This window comes from Homo sapiens, chromosome 2, assembly GCF_000001405.40.
Source record: "Homo sapiens chromosome 2, GRCh38.p14 Primary Assembly".
Taxonomy (NCBI): Eukaryota; Metazoa; Chordata; class Mammalia; order Primates; family Hominidae; genus Homo; species Homo sapiens.
Genome location: NC_000002.12, coordinates 187445306 through 187459839, shown reverse-complemented (window position 1 = coordinate 187459839; position 14534 = coordinate 187445306). Strand labels below are relative to the sequence as shown.

Here is a 14534-nt window from a genome sequence, read left to right as displayed (position 1 = left end):
TTCTAGTACCAAAATGTTTTATCTCAATCAACAATTTATTCTAAGTTTTAGACAAATCCTAATTGTAGCCAAAATCAACTCATTCCTGTCAACATTGTTGATGATTTGCTATTCTTTTTCATTACAAGATAAAATCAGCCAACTCAATTATGAACTTGAATTTCTTTAGGGACTTAATCCATATTTAATCTGTATTTGCACAAGGGGCATAATTCTAATTTACTGAACTCTTTTTCTAAGCTGCAGGTGTTCTTAAATTAGAAGCCAGAGGAAACTGCTACTTCCTTCTTGTTAGTCAGTTTTTGGAATCAGAAAGCAAGAACTTTGACTTTCCAACAGTATTTTTTTTTAAAACATATTCCCCACTCTCAACAGAATGTTCCACAAAATTTGTAAGTCACTCTAGGGAAATTTCCAGAGTTTCAAGATGTGAACAGCTGTGAGCTACCTAAATGATCCATCTTGCCAAGAAATTGTTACTCCAGAGACGACGAAATAAACAATTACCATTTTTTATTGAAAGTTTCTGCCACTGTTCAATGAGAAAGTATTTAAAATTCTAAAGCTAATGACTGTATATGTTAGGAAACTTTATTTATCTCTTTACATATTCTTTATTAACTATTTTCTTTCTTCACAAGCTACACACACACACACACACACACACACACACACACACACATACAGAGTCATTTAATTAGGGAGAAAATATTTAAAACCACTGCATTCCACAGTTTCTCTCATCTCCACTGGTTGTTAATAAACTGGCAGATGCACATGAAGACTATTTTATGACTATAATGGGAGAAAAATCAAATACCAAATCAAATATGATGATAAAGAATACAGGGTTTGGATTCAAATCAACTTAGATTTGAATTCAATAGGCCTTCATATCAATCCTCTTGCTTTGTCTGTAAAATAATTGTGAGGGCAAATGAGAGCATACATAGAAGAGGGCTTAGTACAGTACTACATAGTAAAGATTCAATAAAATGGTAGCATTTGGTATATACAATTTACTGACTGTTTAATATTTCAATGTTTTAGAATACAGTCTCTGAGATGTAATAATAGTTATTCAAATAAGCTAGGCAATCACAAGTCAAAGTAGAAAATTTGAGGTAAATTTTGTCTGCTAAGGTAATTCTATAAAATGAGAAATGAACACAAATATGATGTAGTTGTACTGTTAACAGGATCAATTAAGGGACAGGTAAAAAATATGCATTAGATAACTTTTAATTAAAAAAAATTTTTTTGACATAATTGTCTAGGAAGTGCTAATAGATTTTTAGTATGAAAATTTTTCTAACATGGGTTTTAAAAGGGCAAAAATCAGTAAATTGTTCTTTTTATTTACAAATTTATATAAAACTCATCTTAAAATATTTGCATATGTCTTATTTTCCTGAGAAGTTTTAAAAGCTTAAAAAATGATCATCATTATTGCTTGTGTCATCCTCCCAAATATTCAGAACCTATATCATTATTCATACATGAATAATAATGGAAATTTATGATCTGAATAGACATCAGAATTCAAAATAGAAAAATGACCAAGTTAGTTGTTAATGTTTTAATGTGAACTTGCTGAAAACTGTTATGTTTTTCTATTTTGCTAATGTTCACAATTTTCTTTTTCTCAGTGTGGAATTATCTAACTGAAGACCCAATAACCCATATAATTTGGCATAGAATTTATATAATTATCTTCCAAAAATATGTGAAATAGTTTACCAAATTAGATATTTTTCAAATAATGAAATATTGGTGGTAACATGTTGTAAAGAAGGAAGACATGTTCAATAATGAAACACCTAGAGTGTCAAGTTTCAGTTCTACCAATTTCCAGTGGAGTAAACTACTAAGATTCCGTTCCCTCACCTAAAAAGTGGGAATAAAATCTCCACAGAATTAAATAAAGAAAATATCTAAAAAGCATATTTTTGGAAACAATCCTGGTTTTCAACAATGCTACTTTTCTGTCCCCACTTTCTCTAAAATAAAGCAGAGACCCATCAGTGTTACTAGATATTAAATACTTGAAAATATTGTCATGAGTTGCATTTCAGTCAATGATGAACCACACATATGACAGTGATCCCCTAAGTTTATAATGGAGCTAAAAAATTCCTATTCCCTAATGATTTCCTAGCTGTTGTAATGTCATAGCACAACAGATTACTCCTGTGTTTGTGGTGAAGCTGATGAAACCTACTGTGCTGCCAGTCATATAAAGGAATAGTGCACACAATTTTGTGCAGTACACAATACTTGATAATGATAATAAAATTAAGTTATGGGTTTATATATTTATTATACTATACATTTTACTGTTATTGTATTTAATTTTTACTTATTCAATTTGGAGTCTTTTTGAGACAGAGTCTTGCTCTGTTTCCCAGGCTGTAGTGCAGTGGTACAATCACGACTCCCTACAGTCTTGAACTCCTGGGCTCAAGCAATCCTCCCACTTCAGCCTTCCGAGTAGCTGGGACTACAGATGTGCACCATCAACTAAAAAAATTTTTTTTTTTTTAAGAGACACAGTCCCACTACTGTCTTGAACTCCAGGCCTCAAGCAATCCTCCTGCCTCAGTCTTGCGAAGTGCTAGGATTATAGGGGTAAGTCACTAAATCCCACATTATTATTTTAGAGTGTCTTCCTTCTACTTATTAAAAAATAAGTTAACTGTAAAACATCCTCAGGCTGTTCAGAAGGACGACAATCCAGAAGAAGGCATTGTTTATCATCAGAGATGACAGCTCCATGCGTATTATTGCCCCTGAAGACCTTCCAGTAGGACAGGATGTGAGGGTAGAAGACAGTGATATTGATGATCCTGACCATGCGTAGGCCTAGGCTAATGCATGTGTTTGTGTTTCCATTCTTAACAAAAACTTTAAAAAGTAAAAACAAATAAATTTTAAAAACAGAAAAAACCTTATGGAGAAAAAATATTTTGTATAGCTGTACAACGTGTTTGTGTTTTGCTAAGTTTGTGTTTTGCTAAGTTGTGTTAAGCTAAGTGTTATTATAAAAGAGCTCAAAAATTTAAATTAAAACTTTTAAAATCAAATTTGACTTTTTATAAATTAAAAAGTTTATTGAGTAAAAGACACACAATAAGCTAAGGTTAGCTTATTGTTTCAAAAAATATATATTTTTTTACAAATTTATTGTAGCCTAAGAGAACACTATTCATAAAGTCTACAGTAGTATGAAGCAATGTCCTAGGCCTTCACATTCACTCTCCACTCAGTCACTCAGAGCAGCTTCTAGTCCTGCAAGCTCCATTTGTGATAAGTGCCCTATACAGTATTCAGTACAGCGACATGCTGTACAGGTTTGTAGCCTAGAAGCAATAGGCTACACCACATACCCTACGGGTGTAGTAGGCTATGCCATCTAGGTTTGTGTAAGTACACACTATGAGGTTCACACAATGATGAACTCACCTAACAACCCATTTCTCAAAATATGTCCCGATTATTAAGTGACATATGACTGTAGAATAGTTGACATAATCCAAAATCAAATTTAGTTTTATCCTTCCTTACAATTAATCCAAAAAAGAGAGCCTTTTAATTGTAGCATTTTTATTTTCTGAATCTAAAAATGCCATGAGAAATGAATTTTAAGAGTATCACATATAAGGGACTGTGATTAAAACTAAGGATATTAACTTCAACTAATACTTTGTAGAAAGTCATAAAAAATTTCTAGAGAAAGTTTTTGTACTTTTCTCCTGACCCAAACCTCATCCAGACCCACCAGCATGTTCCTAAAACATACTTTGGATTATATGACCCCTTGCACATGGAGTAAAATACAAATTCCTTACCCCAGTCAACATGGCCCTACATTCTGTGTCCTCATGTACACATATGTGTCTCTCTTCTTGCTCACTGGTCTCCAAGCTCTAGGAGCAATCCAAGTATAGCACTTGAGCAAGTGTTGCCTACCTGCAACAGCCTTTGTAGCAGACTCTGTTTTGATGCCTCTTCCACATATTTAAAAAATTGTTATATAATAGTCACACATTTTATGGGGTACATATGGTCTTTTGTTAGGTGCACAGAATGTGTAACAATCAAGTCAGGGTATTTAAAGTATCTACCACCTGAGTACTTACCATTTTCCTATATTGGGAACATTTCAAGTCCTCCCTTCTAGCCATTTAAAAATATATGATACATTGTTGTTAACTCTAGTCACTCTACTTTGCCCTTGAACACTGGAACCTATTCCTTGTATTTAAGTGTATGTTTGTAACCACTACCCAATCTTTTTTTTTTATCCCCCACCCACCCTTCCCAGACTCTAGTAACTATTATTCTAGTCTCTATCACCAGGAGATCAAATTTTTAACCTTTCACATATGAGAGAGAACAGGCAATATTTGACTTTTTGTGCCTGGCTTATTTTACTTAACATAATGATTTCCGGTTCTATTCATGTTGCTACAAGTGACAAGATTTCATTCTTTTTATGGCCAAGTAGTATTCCATTGTGTAGGTAAACCAAATTTTCTTTATCTAGTCATCCACTGATGGACACTTACGATGATTAAATATCTTGGCTATTATGAATAGTGCTGCAATAAACATAGGGTGCAGATATCTCTTTGATAAACTGATTTCCTTTCCTGTGAATACTGTGGGATTGCTGGATCATATGGTAGTTCTGTTTTTAAGTTTTTAAATAAATCTCCATACTGTTTTTTATCATGGCTATGCTAATTTACATTCCCACTGACAATACATAAGCTTTTTTTTTTTCTCCACATCCTCACCGACATCTATTGTGTTTTGTCTTTTTAATAGTAACCATTCTAACTGGAGTAAGATGACATCCCATTGTGGTTTTGATTTTCATTCCCCTGATGATCAGTGATAATAAGCATTTTAAAAATATATCTGTTGACTATTTGTATGTCATCTATTGAAAAATGTCTATTCATGTTCTTTGCCTACTTGTTAATTGAGTTATTAGTTTTTGCTGTTATTAGTCCCTTGTCAGATGAAAAGGTAGCAAATATTTTCCCCCATTCAACAGGTTATTTCTTTATTCTGTTGATTGTTGCCTTTGCTATACAGAAGTTTTTAATTTAGTATAGTATCATTTGTTTATTTTTGTTTTATTGCCTCTGCCTTCTTATACATAAAATCTTTAACTAGATCAATGTGTCTCCTATTTTTTTCTAGTAGTTTTACAGTTTTGAGACTTATATTTTGGTCTCTAATCCACTTTGAGTTGACTTTTATATATGATACGAGATAGGGGTCTAGTTTTATTCTTCTGCATATGGTAATCCAGTTTTCTGGATACTGGTACTATTTATTGAATGGTGCCTTCGTTGAAAACTAGATGGTAGTTTGATATGTAAATATATTTCTGGGTTCTCTATTTTTGTCCATTGAACTGGCTTTCATAGGGGAAGACTTTTTCCTGAAGACATATCTATGGTATTTGTTGGGTAGGACACTTTAGCTTTGATTTTGAGAATGTAGTCTCTGTGTAATATCTGCAGCTACAAATAACATCAGTGGTGTTTGTGATTTCCTCAGTGGCTTAGGCTGCAGTTGTTGTTGCAGGCTGTGGTGAGATTTTGCTGGGAACAGGGACTCTGCTTGGGCCAGTCCTCAGGACCCAGTGGATGCAGTGGTGGGCCAAGTGTTCCTGTCCTTGGGTCTCTGGTTAGCCCACATGGACATCAATGTTAGCAGGTGCAAACAGGCTAATTTGGGGGCTTTCAAGCAACTCTCCTCAGGTAGTGGCAGAGATAATATTGGGCAAGGCAGGTGGGTGGGCTTTTAGTCCCCTGGGAATCATGTGTGGCATGGGCAATGGCAGTAGCAGTAGTGAGACAATCCTTAGGCTTCAAAATAGTATACACTGGTGTTAGGAGGAGCTACATCATACTAGGTGGGCCAGTTCCCATGCCCTCAGGTGGCAAATGCAAGTAGTTACTGGCTATGGCAATGTTAGCAGGGTGGGAGTCATTAAGCCAGAGCAGGATCATAGTGAATTAATGATTGATTTTGTTTCCAACAGATAGTGGTGGAACAGATGCTTTCCATGCTTTAACATAGTGAGAGCCTTGTTTATCAGACATGAGAGACATTTATCACTCTGTTGTTAGTTTTCAATGATTTGATTTGTATTCCTGATCAGATATGTAGGAGTTAGTCTTCTTTGGTCTAGCCATCTCTAGCTTTGAATCATGAATACAGATGGAGTGATAAATACATAGAAAGACAAAAGAAGGTATGCCATCTTAATTTGTAATTTTAAAATTACATTGTGATTTAACATTTATTACATCATTGTTTTCCTTTGCACTTAAAATTCGATGAAATACATATTCTCCATTGACTATATGGGCTTTAATTTGTATAGTCTACATTAAGTACCTGCCCCTTGTAACTATATTTATCAAGTACATAGACTGTTTTCTTAGAAATATTCCCTAGTTGTTGAGATTTTTTTCATTAGAGAAAAAGCAATAGAATTTCATTTTTATTCTGGTCAGAGAACAACTTTTTGTAATTTGAGAATGTCTAACACTAGATGGCAGGATGACACTATAGATTCCTCAAAACTGTAAAAAGAAAGATGTGACACTTTCTCAAAGGTGTTAAGGGTTCCTAGGCAAATCCATCATACATTTCAATATATGCATTACATACAGTTCCATAGTCATTAATGTTTAAAGTCTCACTGTATGTTATTGACTAACATTAAATATGAATAAGCTTTTAAAGAAAATAAAAATATAAGTTGCTAATGTTTTTACAAGTTATATAAATATGATGATAGCTGAAGAAAATAGTTCGTTATAACTGGAAAGACATGAATACTATTTGGCATCTTTAGAACTTAATGATTAAATTATTTATGTAAAATATAGGGATTGGTCATTTAATCAAATACTACTTAAGTCGAAATGCCTAAATACAAATATAAATAAACCTTTTATTTTCACAATCAAGATTGATATTTAGCAAATAAGAGGCATTTCAGAATAAATCCACATTAAATGCATATCCAGAATTAAAAAGGGCATCTTTTTTGATGCTAACTAAAACCATCCTAGAAATAGTAAGAACTATTTTAAACTCTTCTGGAAAGAAGATTTGGGTTTCCCAAATAAATTACTCACACACTCTTAGTATTTATGTGCTACTTGTCATTGCTCTATTGATAAGTATGGCTAAGTTCACCATATACTGAATAATATTTTTTTCTTCAAACCAGAGCATTTTTGAGCCTGAAATTATGAATTGGGACTGCCCCAGAAAACTAGGACATATGATCACTCTATTGAAGGTATTTCCCCTCAGAAAGTTCATTGTGTACTCCCATTTAAAGTAAGCATTTATAATTTTGTTGGATTTAAAAATCCATTTGAATTAGTCCATGACATAGCTCACTAGCCAGTACTAGCACTTTATTCTAGCAATAGCCACCCCTCCAACACTCATGAATATCTGTAAGAAAATACTAAGTTCGCAGGAAGATCTAAATCCATCAGGATATAAGAATTTTTAAAATAGGCAAATGTTTGGCCAATTATTTTTTATGTTACTTGGCTTTCTTGAGAAAATACATTATTAAATACTGAAAGAAACTCTACATATAGGCTATAAAATAGTTTTATTTATCTGTATATTAACCTGGTATACATTTCTGTATATCTGACCTGATATATATACTGTTCATTTCAAACATAGTTTTCTGCACCTTCCAAATTCTTATTCATAGTAACTATTTTTAAAATAATATTGTAATCTTCTTTAAAATGATAGCTATGTGCCCAATTAAAGTGAAAAACGGCCCTTTGGTTTTAGTAATAGATAATAGCATATTCACTCTCATGTCCCAGACATTGTACCCAGATTCTTTTACTAAATGCAATTTATTTTTGTTTTGAAAAGCAACTTGAAAAGTGCTAACAGCAATTGCTAGGTAAAATAATAAAAGGTTGGGTCAACTTATTTCCTTGCTAGAAGTAGTTTTTTAATGTAAAGCTTTTAAACATATAAGCTTCTGATGTAAAGTTTATGTGTTTCTCCTCAAATTATTGGTGCATTTATCATAAGGCAAGTTATATATAATATTGCTGACTGCATAAATTATCACCAAGTATAAGTAATTGCTTTCAGACAATTAAGAACACAGAAGAATTATTAACATAAAATAATAACTTTTAAAACTTCAGAATAATTATTTTAAAAGTCTTTCTTTTGACTTGTTCTTGCACTCTCACTAGGGAAAGTCTGTCCTTAATATATTTCCTGTAAAAGTGTTCTGCTTTATTTTGTTTGTTCTTGTGGCAAGAATTATGCTCCAAGGCAGTATCCATACAAATTCAAAATAAGTGGTCAGTTTGGTCAGTAGAAAATTAAATTTGTCAAACCACATTTTGGTCTGGTTTAACTAACATATTCAATATAAACAGTAGCCCAGAAACTTGGAGTTAGCCTACTCCTAATTTTGAGTCAACTTGCATTTGACATAGTAACTAGTATCCCCTATTGGAAGAAAAGGTCGCTTGTGAGCCTTATGTGTGAGCACAAATAAAAGCACAAATCCTGCATGTAGGATGCTAAAATGAAAATGTGTGACTGTCCATCATTACATGTATATATTTCTACACTTATACACCACTCCTCACTTCTACAGAAAACCTTATTGCAGTGCTCTGCATCATTACCTCTAGATTCTATGTTAGCAGCATCAGTTGCTAATTTCACAGAATTTGGCCCTTGACTTCTCATGTGCTAGTCAATCTGTTCATTAAAGGACTAGATAGCAGGGAACATTCTATTTTTACTTATCTCACTAAAACACAGTTAGCACATTACCTAGCTCAAAATACAAATTTGGTCACTACTAATTAAATTATTGCAAGTGGCTTTAATGTCTTCTGAAGAAAGATTATAATATATAAATCCATATAATGCCACGTTGGCTCAAAATTGCTTCATTGATTATTGAAATGTTTTCATTTAGCTCTGCTACAGTTTTCCAAACATTTGCCTTCATGTTTCAGTAGGTATTAGAGAAGTTTTTATGATCTATCTTATCACTTGCTCCTACATAACTTAGAATACCCTGAATGCCTTCCTGGAAGTCCTTGTACCATTTATTTTTTCTGAAGTTTATAAAATGGCAGCTCTTGAGGATTACTAGGATGCAATTTTCCTGTTATGTCTAAATAAGAATTAAAGATGATATTAATAAAATTTATCAAGGAGTCTTCATGGACTACAGCCATGGGCCCATGTGTACGTCAACTTAAATATAAATGATACAACTTCTACTAGACACCCCATAAAGTATAGCACTTGATAGAGAGTAGAAGAGAAAGAGCATTGGATTAAGGGTCTTATGACATGAGCTCAAAACATGAATTTTTTTCCTTCAGTAGACCTTACTAGTATTGGGCAAATGAAATCAATGAATCTCACCAGGCGCAGGGGCTCATGTCTGTAATCCCAGCACTTTGGGAGACCAAGGTGGGCGGGTCACCTTAGGTCAGGAGTTTCAGACCAGTCTGGCCAACATAGTGAAACCCTGTCTCTACAAAAAAATACAAAATGTTAGCTGGGTGTGGTGGCGGGCGCCTGTAATCCCAGCTACTTGGGAGGTTGAGGCAGGAGAATTGCTTGAACCCGGGAGGTGGAGGTTGCAGTGAGCTGAGATTGCGTCATTGCACTCCAGCCTGTGCAACAAGAGCAAAAACTCCATCAAGAAAGAAAGAAGGAAGGAAGGAAGGAAGGAAAGAAAGAAAAATGAATCTTTGGAAAGACGAAAATATCAATGCTTTTATAAACATATTGGGAAAAGTTTTAGTTTTCCATGATTTAATTAAATTCAAAAACTATATATTAATCTCTTTATAGGATTCATATATTACACTTAGCATGGAAGATGAGAAGACATGACCCATTATTACTTTCATATTAAATCTAGTATTTGTTTTTCTCTGAATTTCAAGATGGGAACATGAAGCCTAAAAAGCTTTGTCAAGATCACACCAGACAGTATCAGAACCGGTTCACCAGTGTAACTCAGTTTCTTACAAGTCTTTTCTATTAACCATAATTATAGAGATGAAAGTATATCTATTTTTTATATGTCTGTATTTTGTAATCAATATTGATCTCACTGGTCTTAAAATCAAAGATTGTATAAACATTTTCTTCCACTAATTCAGACAATAAAAATGTCAACATGAGCACCCTGCTTTAAAAACATGATATTCCTGAATTTATTTTGCCTTTACCTCCTTTGTCTGCCTACAAGGTGTATGGCACCTCATTTTATCCTGGAATTGCACTAACAATTTACTAAGAGTTGAATGATCCTCACCGTATCTTATCTATTTCAAAATGTTATGAAATTTGTCGATTCAAAGCCTTAGACATAAAATCTATCTCTTCTAGTTTATAGATGAGAAAATTTATGCCCTGATAAATTAAGTGACTTTTAGTGCTGTTTAGGTTATAGGGATTATAATTATTGCTTCATATCGAACATTTACCAAATTATAAAAATGATAAAAGCATTTTAAATTTACATTTTCCCCTGATCATATCCAATGATGTATTAAACATATTCAGGAAAAACTATGCTTTGAGATGAAATTTTGTCTAAGAAATAAAGTATCCTTTGTATTTATATTATTTTATAATATTATGTTTACAACATCTATATTTTCTTTAAGATTATATTGACTTACAAATATTGTGGTATAAATTATTTTATATTATAAATAACATAATTATACCAAATATTTTTAAATGTGTGCAATAATTTTAAAATTATGAATTATTCAAAAGGCTATTTTGTCAAATATATATACTTATATATTATAAAAGAAACACTCTATACACACACATACACAACCTGAATTTATAACACATACACTCATGTTCTTATGAAGAAGGTAAAGGAAAAAATAAAAGATTTAAAAACTGCAGGATAAAGTTTCTTGATCTAATTAACTGATTAGGAACTGCACTTAGGAACTGATGGAGGAACAGCACCCAATTAGCAGAGCTCCAAATTAAGAAGAGCCAAATCACAAAACCAGTTATGATGAATACAGTTAATTTTTTTTTCTGTGTTGTGCTATGAACACAGATTTGTTAGATTTTTTTTCCTGGATACTTTGTAAGCTATAATTCAACACACACACACACACACACACACACACACACACACACACGCCTAACTCCTTTGATTCTTTGAGCAGAATACTATATTCAGATTTCCTTCAAATCACAAGTAGCTTGTTTGGCAAGTTCTAACAGAACTCAGTCAAGGTGAAAGCCAGCCAGCTTTTTACTGGTAACAATGTATTCACACAGCCTATGATCTCTCTCTGTTCAGGCTGCTTCTTGCTCTTGTCTCACAATAAGAAAGGAGTGCTGCTTTCCTGGGGTATGCTATTTGAGAAAGAAAGTAACCTAACACTAACTGCAGGCGGGGTCAGAGTGATGTAACAGGAAGCTCTGATGTTTCCCTTCTGCTGCTGATCACTTACAATCTGACAACACTTACAATCTACTCAGAACAACCTCTCTCTCTCCAGCAGAGAGTGTCACCTCCTGCTTTAGGACCATCAAGCTCTGCTAACTGAATCTCATCCTAATTGCAGGATCACATTGCAAAGCTTTCACTCTTTCCCACCTTGCTTGTGGGTAAATCTCTTCTGCGGAATCTCAGAAAGTAAAGTTCCATCCTGAGAATATTTCACAAAGAATTTCCTTAAGAGCTGGACTGGGTAAGTGCACATTCAAAATAAATATATTTATTCTAAGTAGTATTCTCATATAGTTTGGCAATGTTTCTATTATAGAATTTAGTAGATAGCACTGAAATAATGTTGAAACATAGTCTCACTTATTTCACATGCTAGAGAAAATACAGCCTACTACCCCAACATGAATACAAAATCTAATACTACTAGATAATATTGTTTACCATGGTATTCTAGAAAATAAATTTAGCAAGTATTAAAAATCTAAATGGATTAAAAGACATATTTCTGAACAAATACCTTAATCACAGAACAATGTCTTTTAAAATTAGCTCTAATATTAGCTAAGCTTGAATCTTGACAACTGGAAAACATTTCTCCCCCCGGAAGGGTCTTTAAACTTTCCATGTTATCAGCTGTAAGAAAGAGGTGAAAGAATAACTACTTAATGGGTCTCGGAGTCTCACTTACTCTGTGGTTGATCATAATGCAGAGTTTTGAAAAGTAATCACTTTGTATTTATTACATTTGCTTTTATTTGCCTTTCACCTTTATTTACACATATATCTGTAACTACTGAACTAATTTTTGTGTTCATTGTTGCCAGATGTGTTTAAATCTCTCTTCTGCTAACCCTGAACTGTTTGCTCTTTATTTGGATCATGGTGTCGGCTACAAAGAAAAAAAAAAACCTAGAGTTTAGGAAATGTAGATTTTTAAAACAATTCTTAATTTTGAAATCTTTAAGAGAATACTTCAACTTGACTGGTTCCCCTCTGCAAGCTTTTGGAGGGGGGTGTGATACCACGATATCTGTGGATAAAGAAACGTGACAGCTTTCCCAAAGAAGTATATTAGACGATTAAACAAAGAAATTAAAGTATTTATTAAAAAAGAATTTCCAGGATGGAACTTACTGAAATGTTGGATAAAACATCTGTTAATGCTCATTCCGATAGTACAGACTGTCCTGAACAATTTAAGAAACTAATGTCTGCTTAATAAATTGTTTGTGTAGATATATCACAAATTTGTTGCTGGAGAAAGTTTGATGTCAAATTTTAAATGATGTTGATAGATATGATTTTTAAGTTATATATTTTCTTACCTAAATGCAATTATACTTTCCAAGATGTCCTGCATTGGAAGCATCCTGTACTTAATCACTTATATCTGGCACATTAATAATAGACTACAAACATCCTGAGTAACTCCTCAGTAATTTACAACTCAATTTTTCCACAAATTCCTCAATATAATGAAAATTTAAATTAATTCTTAGATTTGTGATTCTTTAAGAGTATCATGGCTGATTTCTCTCTCTTTTCAATCTTCAGTTGTACTGAGTTCCCTGACACATGTGTAGAAATGGGAAAAGTGTTTTTAGAATGTGACTTTAGCCATTATATAAATGGGGGAGAAAGTGGAAACAACACATTTACTAACCCAATGACGTGGGTTAGTAACAAAAATTAAAACAACATTATTTTTAATTCAGATTATTTTCTTAGGAGGTATTATATTATGATCATATTTTATAATGAGAAACTCTCCAAACTTCCTTAATTTTTGTTTAATTGCTAGTCCCAAACCCATAATTTTCTTGTATAATTTGATTAAATTTTTATGAGTTTACTAACAGTATGGTTTATAATCTTTGTTTTCCAAAAATACTTTTGAAAAACACTAGGCGATGAACATTGAAGGTCATTAGCCAAAGGAAATATTTGAGGACATAACTGGAAGTTTGAAATAAAAATTCATATTATTGTATTCAAAATGTGCTTTCTTTAATGATAAGAAAATATCAGAATATCAATGCATGCTTTTAGCCATAAAGAAATGAATTTACTTTGCTAGAAGATGTTTCCTTGTAGCATCATAAAATCAATGCATTGAGCCTACAGTCAATGCTAAATATGTAAAATGAAACATAGAATTGAAATAGTATGTGAATAATGTGAGCTGAAATATGTTTTACCTGAAATATTCTATTTCTTAAAGAGATAATGTTTTTGATTATTGTTACAAGATTTTTTTTCTATCTTACATACCAAAGCATTATACTAAAAGTTAAAATATGTAGATTTTTATAATATATGAAACTGTTCATTCACTTTGAAAAATTGGAATAACAAAAACATTGTTTAAAATAATACTGGGTCTGTAATTTTAAAAATTATTTTAAATGAATGGGCAAGATTCATATGGTTTTCTCACTGGTGACTCCGAACATGTAATGAATTTTAAATGAAGACAATACTTAGCATATTTGTAAGAATATTTATGTTCACCTGCACATATTATACTATTTTTTCATGCATAACAGAAATAAAATTTCATAAAAAATTGAAAATAATATAAAGGTAAAATGATTACCTTGTTTGCTTTACAGATTAATGTGGACAAAGTATTTGATAAACACATAAACACTAACTGAATTTCAGTTAATAGCATCATTATATATTTCTAACTAGATCATATTTGGAAACATTGTAAAAATATTTTGCTACCAATTTTATCTACATGGCAAAAGTTTGATAGTAACTTAATTTTAAAAGATTGTTCTAGATCTTTATAGAAAAAATATAATAATCTTTAAAGGATCAAAAACTTATTCACTAAACAAAATTTATTTCATACTCTATATATGACTTTTAATACAGCTTTATCAAATAATTCTGGTTTTGGAGATATAATGATTACAGTATCGACTTTTCACAATACAAATATGTTCAAGAAATAGTATTTAAAATC

General features: G+C 32.4%; 1 protein-coding gene and 1 long non-coding RNA gene across 9 annotated transcripts in view; one reads left to right on the top strand and one right to left on the bottom strand.

Annotated features, from left to right (window-relative positions):
• CALCRL-AS1 (CALCRL and TFPI antisense RNA 1) overlaps positions 1–14534 on the bottom strand; it is a 544253-nt gene that overhangs the window by 87686 nt on the left and 442033 nt on the right. The window lies entirely within an intron of this gene.
• The window catches only part of CALCRL (calcitonin receptor like receptor), a 106289-nt gene continuing 103342 nt past the window's right edge, over positions 11588–14534 (top strand). For all 6 annotated transcript variants that reach the window (NM_001271751.2, NM_005795.6, NM_001369434.1 and 3 more), the window contains exon 1: positions 11588–11801. The gene's annotated coding sequence lies outside the window, so the exon portion shown is untranslated. The remainder of the gene's footprint in view (positions 11802–14534) is intronic.